The sequence below is a fragment of the Homo sapiens genome, chromosome 6 (assembly GCF_000001405.40).
Source record: "Homo sapiens chromosome 6, GRCh38.p14 Primary Assembly".
In the NCBI taxonomy this organism is placed as follows: Eukaryota; Metazoa; Chordata; class Mammalia; order Primates; family Hominidae; genus Homo; species Homo sapiens.
The window spans coordinates 4,706,138-4,720,243 of NC_000006.12; the positions used below are offsets into that span (position 1 = coordinate 4,706,138).

General features: G+C 44.2%; 1 protein-coding gene across 1 annotated transcript in view, besides 1 other annotated feature; it reads left to right on the forward strand.

Annotated features, from left to right (window-relative positions):
* CDYL (chromodomain Y like) overlaps window positions 1-14,106 on the forward strand; it is a 249,407-nt gene continuing 235,301 nt past the window's right edge. Inside the window, exons 1-2 of the mRNA NM_001368125.1 lie at window positions 1-114; window positions 9,604-9,744. Coding sequence (NP_001355054.1) covers window positions 9,642-9,744 — 103 coding nt within the window. The 5' untranslated portion in view covers window positions 1-114; window positions 9,604-9,641. The remainder of the gene's footprint in view (window positions 115-9,603; window positions 9,745-14,106) is intronic.
* Window positions 13,132-13,943: an enhancer, noted in NCBI's record as "OCT4-NANOG hESC enhancer chr6:4719503-4720314 (GRCh37/hg19 assembly coordinates)". NCBI's record gives its function as "activates a minimal SCP1, AML or CMV promoter by ChIP-STARR-seq in naive H9 embryonic stem cells {active_cell/tissue: H9 hESC(naive)}" and the evidence as "EXISTENCE:reporter gene assay evidence [ECO:0000049][PMID:30033119]".

A 14,106-nucleotide genomic window follows, 5' to 3' on the forward strand; every position in this document is an offset into this window, starting at 1 on the left:
AGTGACCCCTTTGTTCCTTGAGGAGAGAGGACCTATTTCTACCTAAGGACATTCCCGGAAGGCAATGGGTTTCAAACAATATCCTGAAGAGACTCATCTCGGGGAACTAAGCAGGTAGGAATGGAAAGGAGGAAATGGGAGGGGAGAGGAAGTCAATCTGGGACCCTCATCCCGGCTTCAACCAAAAGCTTCACTCTCATCTGCCTGATGGATGGAGCTACAATGTTTTTGAACAAGAGATTCCATTTGAACAAAGAGCTCTGGGTTCTGTAACTTTAAGAGTTTGGGTGGTTTTTTTTTCTTTTCATTTGTTTGTTTGTTTTTTGCCACATCAGATTTTATAGAGAATTTAAGAGTTTTAAAACTACAATTAGGCCGGGTATGGTGGCTCAGGCCTGTAATCCCAGCACTTTGGGAGGCCAAGGCGGGCTGAGGTCAGGAGTTCGAGACCAGCATGGCCAACATGGTAAAACCCCGTCTCTACTAAAAAAAATTACAAAAATTAGCCAGGTGTGGTGGTGCGCGCCTGTAATTCCAGTTACTCTGGAGGCTGAGGAATAAGAATCGCTTGAATCCTGGAGGCAGAGCCTGCAGTGAGTCGAGATGGCACCACTGCACTCCAGCCTGGGTGACAGTGAGACACTGTCGTAAAATAAATAAAATAAAACTACAAATATAGAGGAGCAGAGAGTGGCAAAGCAGATTGAGGACAGACTTCAGAAGGCCTTGAACTCTAATGTAAAGCATTCAGATTTTCACCTCAGGCCAGTGGGGACTCGCCAAAAGCTTTTGTGGAAGGAACAGAATGGTGAAAGCAATGCTGAACAGAGCCTAACTTGGTTACAGTGTTCAGGATGGAGACCAGAGTTGGAAGATAAAACAGAGGCACCAACTACCAGGTGTTTTCTACAATAAGGGCCTCAATCAGGTTTTTTTAAGGAAAAGATGCATTCCATGAAGTCAAATATCCAAGAAGAGGTATACATTGCACACAATACTTTATTTGATCCTTTTCTACATTCCCCAGGGGTGTATTCCTGTCACCATTGGAGATGAGGAAATAAGGCCCTGAGGCTCAAGTCATTTGTCCAAGATTACATAGTGAGCAAATGACTAAACTGTAATTCAATGCCAAGTCTGTTTTTTGTTTTTTATTTGAGACAGAGTCTCGCTCTGTCACCAGGCTGGAGTGCAGTGGCGTACAGTCTTGGCCCACTGCAAACTCTGTCTCCTGGGTTCAAGCGATTCTCCTGCCTCAGCCTCCTGAGTAGCTGGGACTACAGGCATGTGACACCACACTAATTTTTTGTATTTTTAATAGAGACTGGGTTTCACCACGTTGGCCAGGATGGTCTTGATCTCTTGACCTCGTGATCTGCCCTCCTCGGCCTCCCAAAGTGCTGGGATTACAGGCGTGAGCCACAGCCCCCGGCTGTCTGTTAAACTGTTTACTGTATTGTATGACCTCCAGCCATCCAAATCCCTTACCTGGGCATTCAAGACCTTAAAAAATCAGACTTCTAAAATGTGTGCATTTTATCATATGCGGATAGTACCTAATTTAAAAGTTAAGCTGATCCTCAAAACACTTGTTATTTTCTGATTTTTTTATAGTTGCCATCCTAGTGGGTGTGAGATAATATCTTATTAGGAAACCTCATTTGTTTTTAACTTTTTTGTTAATTAATGTATTTAAGACTATAAATTTGCCTTTAAGTACTGCTTTAGATGTGTACAAATTCAATCATGTAGTATTTTATTCAGTTCTATTTTTTTTAGTCCAAATGTTATTTAATAGTGTGCTATTTAGTTTCTGAATAAGCAGGACTTTATTTTAGCCATCTTTTAAAAAATATTAATTCTGTGATGGCATTGTAGTTGGAAAACATTGTCAGAATGGGATTGATTCCTTGGAACTTACTGAAACTTCCTTTATGGCCTAATATGTGATCTATTATTGCAGATGTTTTAGGTATAATCAAAAGAATGTTTTCTGTTTGTGTTGTGTACACACACACACACACACACACACACACACACATATATATATATATATTTGAGACAGAATCTTGCTCTGTCACCCAGGCATGATCTTGACTTACTGCAACCTCCACCTCCAGGGTTCAAGCAATTCTCATGCCTCAGCCTCCCAAGTACCTGGGACTACAGGTCCGTGCCACCATGCCTAATTTTTGTATTTTTAGTAAAGATGGGTTTTCACCATGTTGTCCAGGCTGATCTCAAACTCCTGGTCTCAAGTGATCTGCCCACCTTGTCCTCCCAAAGTACTGGGATTACAGTTATGAGCCACCACACCTGGCCATATATTTTTAATTGTATTTTTGCCCATTCATATCAATGAATAAACATTTCCAAATGCAACTGTTAATTTTTGAATTTTTTCTATGTATCTGATATAGCTCAAGATTGTATTGGTAGGTGTTATATGTTTATGATGATTATTTTGATTTTATACTGTTCCTTAAACATTTTTAAACAGTGAAATATAACTTACATGAATAAAGTTTATAAATCTTATATGCATATTTAAAGCAATACTTACAGACATCCATATAACCACCACTAAGGTCAAGAAATAGGCTGGGCACAGTGGCTCACACCTGTAATCCCAGCACTTTGGGAGGCCAAGATGGGTGGATCACCTGAGGTCAGGAGTTCAAGACCAGCCCGGCCAACATGGCAAAATCCCATCTCTATTAAAAATACAAAAATTGGCATGTGCCTGTACTCTCAGCTGCTTGGGAGGCTGAGACAGGAAGAATCGCTTGAACCCAGGAGGCAGAGGTTGCAGTGAGCCAAGATCATGTCACTGCACTCCAGCCTGGGTGACAGAGTGGGACCCTGTCTTAAAAAAAATAAAATAAAATAAAATAAAATATTGTTAACTTTTTTTTAGTTAACAGTTTTAAAAATAAACTCACCTTTCTAACCTTTTCTGGCACTAATCCACCTTCTCCACCAACCCTTCCATACACCTCATGCTTCTTAGGGATAAGGCTGTTTGTCACTATGCACTAATTCTGCTATTCATTGCACCCAGTCATTTTGCTTGTTTGAGACAGGGTCTCACTTTATTGCCCAGGCTGGAGTGCAGTGGCCCCGTCTTGGCTCACTGCAACCTCCGCCTCCTGAGTTCAAGCAATTCTCCTGCCTCAGCCTGCCAAGTAGCTGGAATTAAAGGCACTCACCACCCCATGCCCGGCTAATTTTTGTATTTTTAGTAGAGACGGGATTTCATCATGTTGGTCAAGCTGGTCTTGAACTTCTGACCTTGTGATCCGCCTGCCTCGGCTTCCCAAAGTGCTGGGATTACAGGCGTGAGCCATTGCACCCAGCCGCCCCCAGTCATTTTTATGGCTTCTCTTACACCTAGTGATGACTGTCATGTGAGGGTCCCTTCCCCCACCTCCCCTGCCAAAAACCTCCCCAGGCTTCAAACTGCAGCTAAGTGGTACCTCTGTAGAGTGTCCTTCACTCTCTCCTCAAGAGGGAACCTCTGTCTCTCTATTCTCTATATCTTTACACCTTTTTAAAAAATTACCCTTAAGTCAGCTTTCATATTCTTCTCATATTGTGGTTATTTTGTCACCTATTACATATAAACTCCTTGAAGACAGGACAAAGGTCTTAACCTCTGATTTTCCTTAGCTTGATTCGGTGTGAGGCATATGGTAAGTGCTCAACCAATATTTTAAAGAAATGAATAGAATCTCTTCTTTAATTCAGCTATGTTTCATTATTCAAGATAGCTAGCATTTTTTCCCCTTAAAACATCTCTTTGGCCAGGCACGGTGGCTCATGCCTGTAATCTCAGCACTTTGGGAGGCCGAGGCGGGCAGATTGTCTGTGTTCAGGAGTTCAAGACCAGCCTGGCCAAAATAGTGAAACCCTGTCTCTGCTAAAAATACAAAAGATTAGCTGGGCGTGGTGGCATGCACCTGTAATCCCAGCTACTCAGGAGTCCGAGGCAGGAGAATCACTTGAACCTGGGAGGTGGAGGTTGCAGTGAGCTGAGATCATGCCATTGCACTCTAGCTTGGGCAACAAGAGTGAAATTCCATCTCAAAAAACAAAACAAAACAAATCTCTTTATGTTCATTTCTTTTCCATTTTGATTGCTGCTCTGCAGAAAGAGAAAGAGGAAGGATCGAAAGAAGAATAAAAGGAAAGAAAGGAGGAAGGGAGGGAGAAAGGGAGGGAGGGAAGGAGGGAGGGAGGGAGGGAAGGAAGGAAGGAAGGAAGGAAACTACATTTAGATCCCCTTTCCAGACCAATTACATGAGAATTTCTGGAGAATGAGTCCAGCATCCTTAATTTTCTCATGTGCCACCAGGATTGAGAACCACTGCTTTTTTGGTCCCTTTTAATTTCACCAGTTTTATCTCTAAACCTCTAAAACAGGGAGGGAGGGAGGGAGGAACCCAGTGGCTTTTAGGGCCTCGTTTCACAGGCCCATCCAATCTATTCAGCTACTTCTTCCAACAGATGCCTCTGCTCCAAGGCTCATCCAGGTCCCACAGGCACGCTGTGCTCCCGTCTTTATTCTCTGCTCCTTGTACCTGGATGTTTCCCTTCTCCCCTCCCCTACTCACATTCTAACCATCCTTCCAAGCTATTCCCTCCTCCTCAAAGCTTCCCAGACCACTACTATCATCCCTTTCTAAATCCCTGTGGTTGAAATAAGCATGCTGACCGTAGCTAATAACACTGTATTGAATGCTGGAAATTGGCAAAGAGTGTAGATTTCAGGTGTTCTCACCACACACACACACACACACACACACACACAAAGGTAACTGTCAGGAGATGGATATGTTAATTTGCTTGACTGTAGTATTCATTTCACTATGGATATGTACTGCAAAATGCCATGCTGCACACTTCAAATATATACTGTAAAAGAAATAAGACCTTCGAGTCGGCACAAAATCCAACACAATGGACTTATCCCCACCACCAGTCCATGCACTTGTCTCTCTAAGATCACAAATACCCTGAGAACAGGGACCATGGCTAAGATTCTGTGGCCATGACCCTGGCCTCTAACGCTGTGGAGACATGGTTTGCTAATGGAATGCTTTTTCCAGAGGAGGCCCTTTAACCTAACCCTCTCCTGCCACAGAGTAAAGGAAGAAACAAGAAGTTTCAGTGACTTACGGGAAGTCGTACACCTTGACCCGAATCTAGCAACCTCAAGGCTCTTCTCTGGTTGTTTATTCACAGCCATCTGTTTTCCTCATTCTCTCCTCTGATTCCCCCTCAGGAGCGACAGAAGGCCCTTTACCCTCACCTTTCTCTCTTAGTCTTATGAACTGTGTCTTTCTCAGTGATAGGTCACTCAGCTGCTGTATTTGGTGGCAGAGCCCAGAGAACAGCACAGAACCACAGCCCTCAGGGCAATTCAGATGCTGGGGTTTTTTTCTGAAAGTCCTTCCCTGAAGAGTTATTCCTTGTGAGGGAGGGGGGAGGAGGACATTTCTGGACTTATTGCTGACATACACACCAAAGGCTGAGTTTGTCTTCTGGGTTAAACAGAGGCACTATGGCTCTAAATTGGCCAGGAAGAGGCTTCAGCTGAGGCTACAGGAGGGCAGACCACCAAGCGAGTATAAAAGAAAAAAGCAGGCTGGGCACAGTGGCTCATGCCTGTAATCCCAACATTTTGGAAGGCTGGGGTGGGCAGATCACTTGAGGCCCGGAGTTTGAAACCAGGCTGGCCAGCATGGCAAGACCCAGTCTCTACAAAAAATACAAAAATTAGCGCGGTGTGGTGGTATGCACCTGTAGATCCAGGAATTTGGGAGGCTGAGGTGGGAGGATCGCTTGAGCCCAGAAGGTCGAGGCTGCAGTGAGCCATAACCACGCCACTGCACTCCAGCCCAGGTGACAGAGCAAGACCGTCTCAAAGAAACAAAAATGAAAGAAAAAGAAAAAATATATAACAGTTAAGTAGAAGCAGAAGCTTCCACCAATTTGAGGGAAAAGCAACCTTTATAAACCAATGTCAAGCCAGGACAGGCAGAAAAGAGCACCTCTTGAGTAGACAGGCTGACAGGGGCCCTGGAATTCAGGCTAGGAGCACATGTTCATGAGAGAATTAGAATACTGCACTCCAGCAATAATCCCAAATCCTTGGCAGATGTTAAAGTGATTTCCATCCCCATGAGGTGCAGAGATACTAGGAATCCCCCCTGGATTTCTTCCTGGGCAAGGCTGTTGCCAAGGTCCCCAACTGAAGGTAGAAAGGGTGACAGTGGCCAGCGGAGTGAGAAAGACAGCAGGGGCTGGGCCCACACAGGTGGCCGCCGTTCCCACCGGCAGCAGTTAAGGCTTTGATTAGCAGCCCACAGCAGCCATGGCTGGGGAGGGCCACCTCCCACCCGGGCACAAGCCGAAGGACACTTGTGACAGGACAGCTGCGGATGGTGGGTACTCTCATGCCCTGTGTCTTTCCACACTGGGATATTCACTATCACGTATACCCCCATTCACACCTGGAACCACTCTGCTAGTCCCCAAGAGGAGATTCGGACTGTTAGAACGAGATAATTTCAGAGCTTTAAATGGCTCCCATTTATGAGAAACTGGATGAGAGAGCAAAGCAAAGCATTCACGACTCACGTGCTACAGATGTTCAAGCCAGGAGAACTAGCAGGAAGGGGTTCTTTCCAGCCTTCACTCTGCCATTTACCAAGTATGTACCAAGTATGTGAGCCTGGGCACTGTGGATGTGGCTCACCATTCCTGCATCTGGGGTGGGCAGATCACTTGAGGCCAGGCGTTTGAGACCAGGCTTGCCAACACGGCAAGACCCCGTCTCTACAAAACATACAAAAATTAGCGAGGTGTGGTGGTATGCACCTGTAGATCCAGGAACTTGGGAGGCTGAGGTGGGAGGATCGCTTGAGCCCAGAAGGTCGAGGCTGCAGTGAGCCGTGACCACATGAGGGGGTCGAGCAAAATGACTCTTTGAAAATGGCCCTGACAATTCTCTAGTTACAAACCCTCATTTCACAATCATTAAGTGAGGGCTCCAATCACACAGCCAGTTGGGTCAGAGCAGAGCTGGAATCTGCCTCCCTGGATCTCGTGCTTCTCTGCTCTACCCGGCATCTCCTTCCTCCCACCTGTGATTCCCAGTCATGCTGTCAATAGGAGTGGCGGGAGGAGGATCCTGGAGCCATAAGCTAGAAAGGTCCCCAAGACGCAGGCCGCAGGCTACGTGGGAAATTTCCAGATGCTAAGAGAAGGCCGCTCTGCTCTTTGTCAGGGCTCCCCGTGAAACTGACGAAAAGTCAAATTCCATGGAGGTGACTAAAGACAACTCGACTCTATCTGTATTATTTGAATTTCATACAATCAAGCAGGTATTTCAGTATGACTTAATTAAAAACTGAATACAGAGTCTTAAAACTTCTATCATTTAGATTCTTTTTTTTTTTTTTTGGAGACAGAATCTTGCTGCGTTGCCCAGGCTGGAGTGCAGTGGCACAATCTCAGCTCACTGCAGCCTCTGCCTCCTGGGTTCAAGAAGTTCTCCTGTCTCAGCCCCCCAAGTAGCTGGGATTACAGGCATGGGCCACCACACCCAGCTAATTTTTGTATTTTTAGTAGAAATGAAGTTTCACCATTTTGGCCAGGCCGGTCTCAAACTCCAGATCTCCAGTGATCTGCCTGCCTCGGCCTCCCAAAGTGCTGAGATTACAGGTGTGAGTCACCACACCTGGCCTAGATTCATTTATTTTGGCTTAACTAATATCTAATAGGTAAATCACAGATATCCCACTGGAGGAACATTCTCACATAACTCCTTGTGGATAATAATCACAGCTAACATTGAGAGGATGCCGTGTGCCAGGAGTTTTGTAGATGTGATATCATCTCATGCTTACGGGACGTGTGGCTGTTACCAGCACCTTACAGATGCGAACACAGAGGGTTGGAGAGTTAGGTCATTTATTCATCCACACAGGGGAGGTTTGGGGCCAGGATCAAACCCACGTGTGTTGGATAGACTGACTCCACAGTCCATGTCCCCGATCCCTGCACCACACTGCCTCTCGGTGGGTATTTACACCTGACACTAATATGTCTCTCTAACGCCATTACTGAAGTCAAGTTCTGACAGAGTAAGGAAGATAAGAGACAACATCAGAGCACCTGGGCTCAAGGCCCAGCTCCACCACTTATTACTTAGGAGAAGTTAACCTTTATGAACTGCAGTGTCTCATCCAAACAAGAATGATTCTAGATGATTGCTCACAGAACTGTTGTGAAGACTAAGTCTGAGAACCCATGAACAATGCTCAGTGCAATGCCTGGTATATAATAAGCTCTCAACAGAAACACATAATCATGGTTCAGGACACCAAAGAGCACCTGGGCCCCCATCACAGCACTGCTGCTGGCCAGCCCTGGATTGAAGCACCATGCTCCCAGGCTGCCAGCTTCTGCAGATTTCAGCTACCCTGAACATTCCCTGCCTTAAAGTCAGCTTCCAGAAGAGCACATTTGATCCCAAGTTAAATTGTGAAGTAGACGACCAGCTGCCATTCATATGGAGCCCAGTGTGGATGCGTAGGTAAGTTAGAGGATGAAGCGCTGCCTTCAGGGTCACACCAACAAACTTGAGGACTGACTACTACAGAATCCGTGAGTGTTCTGGCTGGTTTAGAGGCCTCGGTTATCCCAGTTGTCTGTATTGACAAGCAGCAATCTTGATGCGCCACCTGAGTGAGGGTTCCACTCAGCTGTAAATGACATGTTATAATAGTTTTAAATTTATATGTGACTTTTTCACTTTTGTGTCTTAAAAGCCAAAGGAAATGACCTCAGTTGTTTTTTATTTTTCCAAAACAAAGTCCAAAAGGTATAGACTTTCCAGCACCATCTCCAATGGCATGTTTCCATAAACCCTCTGCATAGGCACGCCCAACCACTCGCCACTCTGAAAATGCATCGTGCTTTCTCGTGCCTCTGTGCCTTGGGCTCTCACCCTCCCTACCTGAGAATGACTCACTTCCTTGTCTCCATTAAAGCATTTGGTTACTTCTTCCTGCTTTCAGACCTTTTGTATAAGACGTCAGTTATGTCTTCCTACCAGACTGTAGACCACATGAGGACAAGACGCGCCTCCTTGTCATCTGTGTCCACCAGTCTACTAGAAAAGCTGAAAAAAGGAAAGGGGATGGTCCTTAAGCTGTAATGCAGACACATTTTCATGACTGCAAATGATAGCCTTCCAACCTCATGATAAGTATCAGGCCACTTGGCTTACTTACTCTTCCATGTATTGTAATACGTCATTATAAATTGCAGGTAACCAACATATTGACATATATTGTGGTGAAGAAGAGCAAGTTTGACTACTTTAAACATTGCTTTTTATTCCTTATCATTTTAAATGTGTTGCTACTTTTGATGCACTGCTTACTGACATTTATTGCTTCCTCTGCACAAGCACAAAATGCTGGCTCACTCTCAGATTCAATGTAGAACTGGTGAAAGTCATTAAATGCCATGAGCCTTGGGTTTTTTCCCATGTACTGTAGTAAATTCCTCTTGTTGGGATTGTAATTGCAGGTGGTCATCAGAGAACACAGAGCCCCCGGAAGAATTTTATGACATTTCAGGCAAGCCACAGGTCAGCCTGGGGAAAAAGCAGGAAGAAAAACTGGCAATACGAGGGCCCAACCCAAAAGTTATTCCTGAAGAGAAACAACGGTAAGAACTTGCAGGAATCAAATTAGTTCTGATGCAGTAGGCAGAATTCTTAGAGAGGCCCCTTTTATTTAAAAATGATTTTACTGGCCGGGCACGGTGGCTCACGCCTATAATCCCAGCACTTTGGGAGGCCGAGGCGGGCGGATCATGAGGTCAGGAGATCGAGACCATCCTGGTTAACACGGTGAAACCCCGTCTCTACTAAAAATACAAAAAAATTAGCCTGGCGTGGTGTGGGTGCCTGTAGTCCCAGCTACTCGGGAGGCTGAGGCAGGAGAATGGCGTGAACCCGGGAGGCGGAGCTTGCAGTGAGCCCGAGATCGCGCCACTGTACTCCAGCCTGGGTGACAGCAAGACTCCATCTCAAAAAAAAAAAAAAAGACTTTACCAATATGTAGTCAGAAATTGTTCAACATAAGCTTTCTGGTATTCCAGTCATAATACTCTAGCTGTTCGGACAACGCCTTCTCTCTCGCAAGCTCTCCTCTTTTTTCATTCTCTTTAAATCTCCTATCTGGCTTCCCTAAATAAATTTTTTGTAGCCAGAACTTCCATTTCATTGCAGTGGTTAGTTTTGTGTCTCCCATTGCTCTTTAGTAACTTTTAATGACCTGAGACATCGTTGGCTTCCTTTCCTTTTCCACTTCCTCCAAGTCAATTGATAGCACACCCTACACTCTGTGTTTACAAGCGTCAGAGAAGGCAGCAATAATTTTTTTTTTTTTTTTTTTTGCCTCATCTTCACTAAGGGATGCCTGAATTCTTGACAGGGCCAGATAGAATGCAAAAGTGGTTTTCTACATTGCTAAGAAATAACAGGCAAGTCTAGATACCACGAGAGCTAGCAACCTGAAGAAGTCATCTGTTCATTCTTTCATTTATTTACCGTATACGGTGTTGGGTGCACAAAAAGCATGGAGCAAGGTGCTTCAGGGTGTTTAGCAATGAGCAAGACAAAGACACTGACAAGGAGCTTTCATTCTGCAAGCCGAAAAAGACAGGAGCTCAAATTGATACCATACAAGTAGCATGAAATAGGCACCCCAGAGAGGGACACAGCTATGGAAAAATCAAATGAGGGAAAGATTACATCTCATTGGGAAAGACTTGGTGGAGGTTCAGGTCAGTTCTGGGAATGATGAGTCTGAAGTCATTGGGGCATTCAAGGGAAGCATGAGCAGGCAGTGGGAACCTGGGACCACAATCAGGAAGAAAAGGGTGGGTAGGATATAAGGGGTCCAAAGTCACTTGGAAGAGGTTGTCGTGGCTGGAGCAGTGAGGGGCTCACACCTGAGACTCCAGTACTTTAAAGAGGCTGAGGCAGGAGGATCACTTCAGCCAAGGAGTTTGAGAAAGAGGTTATCCTCAATTCCCTAATTCCTGTTCCGCCTACTGGGATGCTTCCACTCCTACAGCTTCCAGAGCCTGGTGCAGCTGGGGCTTTTAACTTACCAACAGATGTTCTGCTGCAGCTGGCTCATCCAGGATCCACCATAAGGGACTTCCGCTTAGGCAAAATTGCATTTCAGTTTTTAAAACAAAAGAGGGTCAGGCACGGTGGCTAAAGGCCTTTGGGAGGCTGAGGTGAGGGGATCTCTTGAGGCCAGGAGTTCAGCAACAGCCTGGCCAACAATGTGAGGCTCCATCTCTAAAAAAAAAATTAAAAATTAGCTGGACACAGTGGCATGTGCCTGTAGTCCCAGACACTCAGGAGGCTGAAGTGGGAGGCAGAAGCATCACTTGAGCCCAGGAGTTTGCGGCTACAGTGAGCTATGATCAGGTCATTGCACTGAAGCTTAGGCAACAGAACAAAGACCCTCACAAAAAAAAAAAAAAAAAAAAAAAAAAAAAAAAAAAAATTAAAAATTGAAAGGGATTTTTGTTGTTTTGTTAGGTTTTTTTGGTTTTTGTTGTTTTCTTATTTTTTACATTGTCTTCACAGACATCACCCTGTTAGATTTTTTTTTTTCTTTTTCCTTTTTTGAGACAGGGTCTCACTCTATCACATAGGCTGAAGTGCAGTGGCTCAGGACGGCTCACAAGAGCCTCAACCCCCTGGGCTCAAGGGATCCTCCTCCCTCAACCTCCCAGATAGCTGCGATTGTAGGCACATGCCACCACACCCGGCTGATTTTATATTTTGTAGAGATGGTGTCTCACTATACTGCCCAGGCTGGTCTCCTGGCCTCAAGCAATCCTCCTGCCTCAGCCTCCCAAAGTGCTGGGATTATAGGTGTGAGCCACTAGACCAGGTCCCAGACATTCTTTTTGAATATACCTAAGACATTTGCAATAACAGATTATGTATTATGCCATAGACCAGGAAATAATTTATTATTTCATTTTTTCTCATTTTTAAGAATGCCCAGTTTTTTGTCATTGGTGGTGGTGGTGGTGGTTTTTTTCTGTTTTTCGTTTGTTTGGTTGTTTTTTGTTGCCCAAGCTGGAATGCAGTGGCACGATCTCAGCTCACTGCAACCTCTGCCTCCTGGGTTCAAATGATTCTCCCACCTCAGCCTCCCAAGTAGCTGGGATTACAGCGTGTGCCATGACGCCCAGCTGATTTTTGTATTATAAGTAGACACAGGGTTTCACCATGTTGGCCAAGTTGGTCTCGAACTTCTGATCTCAAGTGATTCACTCACCTCAACCTTCCAAAGTGCTGGGATTACAGGTGTGAACCACCATGCTCGGCCCCCATGGTTTCCTTAATCTGAAAAGTATAAAAAAGGTTTTTTTTAATCCAGATTCCCACTAGCCAGAAGTAATATCATTTATAGTACCAAACTTTTCTATTTGATTAATGCAATTAAGGCAAATTAATATTTGTGTGTTGATTCTTTTATTTGCATTTTTTTAAAAAACAAAACTTGGATGTTGTAATTTTGTTATTTTCTTTTTCACTCGATTATGTATCATGGCCTTTTTTGACATATGCATCTACATTATCATTTTAGATTCCTGCAGGATATTCCAGTTTATTGATAGGCATTCAGGTTATATTGATAGACATTCAGGTTATTTCCACTGGTTTTTTTTTTTCTTTTTTTCTTTCTTTTCAGACAGAGTTTTGCTCTTGTTGCCCAGGCTGGAGTGCAATGTAACAATCTCGGCTCACTGCAACCTCCACCTCCTGGGTTCAAACGATTCTCCTGCCTCAGCCTTCCCAGTTGCTAGGCCTACAGGCATGCACCACCACACCTGGCTAATTTTTTGTATTTTTAGTAGAGATGGAGTTTTGCCATGTTGGCCAGGCTGGTCTCGAACTCCTGACCTCAGGTAATCCACCCGCCTTGGCCTCTCAAAGTGCTGTAAGCCACCACACCTGGCTGTTTATTTCCACTTTTAAATTGCTTTTAGATAATACTGTGATAATAAACATCTTCATATGTATACTCTTGTGCATGTATCTGGGTGTCTCTCCTTACTATCCATTTATAGAAGTAGGATTACTAGGTCGAAAGATGTGGTTAACGGTATTAATACACATTGTCCTTAAATTTAACATCACGTCATCTAAACTGTGGCCTCACCTTCCCTCCCCTCTAAGTACTTCCCACTCATCATGTGGTACCTCTTTCCCAGCTCTACACCTATCTTGACCCCCATTCCTGCAAGGCCTAAGCTGCCTACTAGCTGCCTATTAGCTAATCAACAGAATATTCACTTTTTAGAGCTTTTAAAATTATTACTCATTTTCATGAAGATTAAAATGACTTCCAGAGCCAAGGAATGAAGCTATAATGAAGACAACAAAGACAGGAGAACGATGATGGGGGTTGATCCTTGGCTGATAGACTTCAAAGTCAACCATTAGCACCCAGGATGAGTCATTTTGAATTAGAATCAGATACTCTGCCCACCTATAATGAGAGATCTTCTTGATCTTTAATGAGTACCATCTCTTCATTGAAACAGTCACCAGAATTTGCATTTCCAAGATCTCTTGCCACTTTCCCCAAAATACCTTCTATGGCCATTACACAGAAAAAAACTTATCTGTGCCTGCAAAGAAAACTCAGCTTTGGACCAAATTATCCCCACTGTGTACAACAAAATCACATTCCTCTGGCCTCTGTATTTCTCTCCGTAGTCCATTTCAACGCTTATAGCAAATCAACATTGTGACCCAATAATTATTAAGTCCATTAATCTTTACTGCATTATTAATCGCAAATCTCACCAACTAACCTTGCAAAGTGCATATGTGGGTAAGCCATGGAAGCTAGAAAGAGTTTCCTGGGAAAATCTGGGATCTTATTTCATGTCCTCACATTTCTCTGAAGGAAAAAAACTTGTAAACATTGAGTCAAAACCTTACAAATTTTGGAGGGAGGAGGAGTGCAAAAAATTCTTACAAAT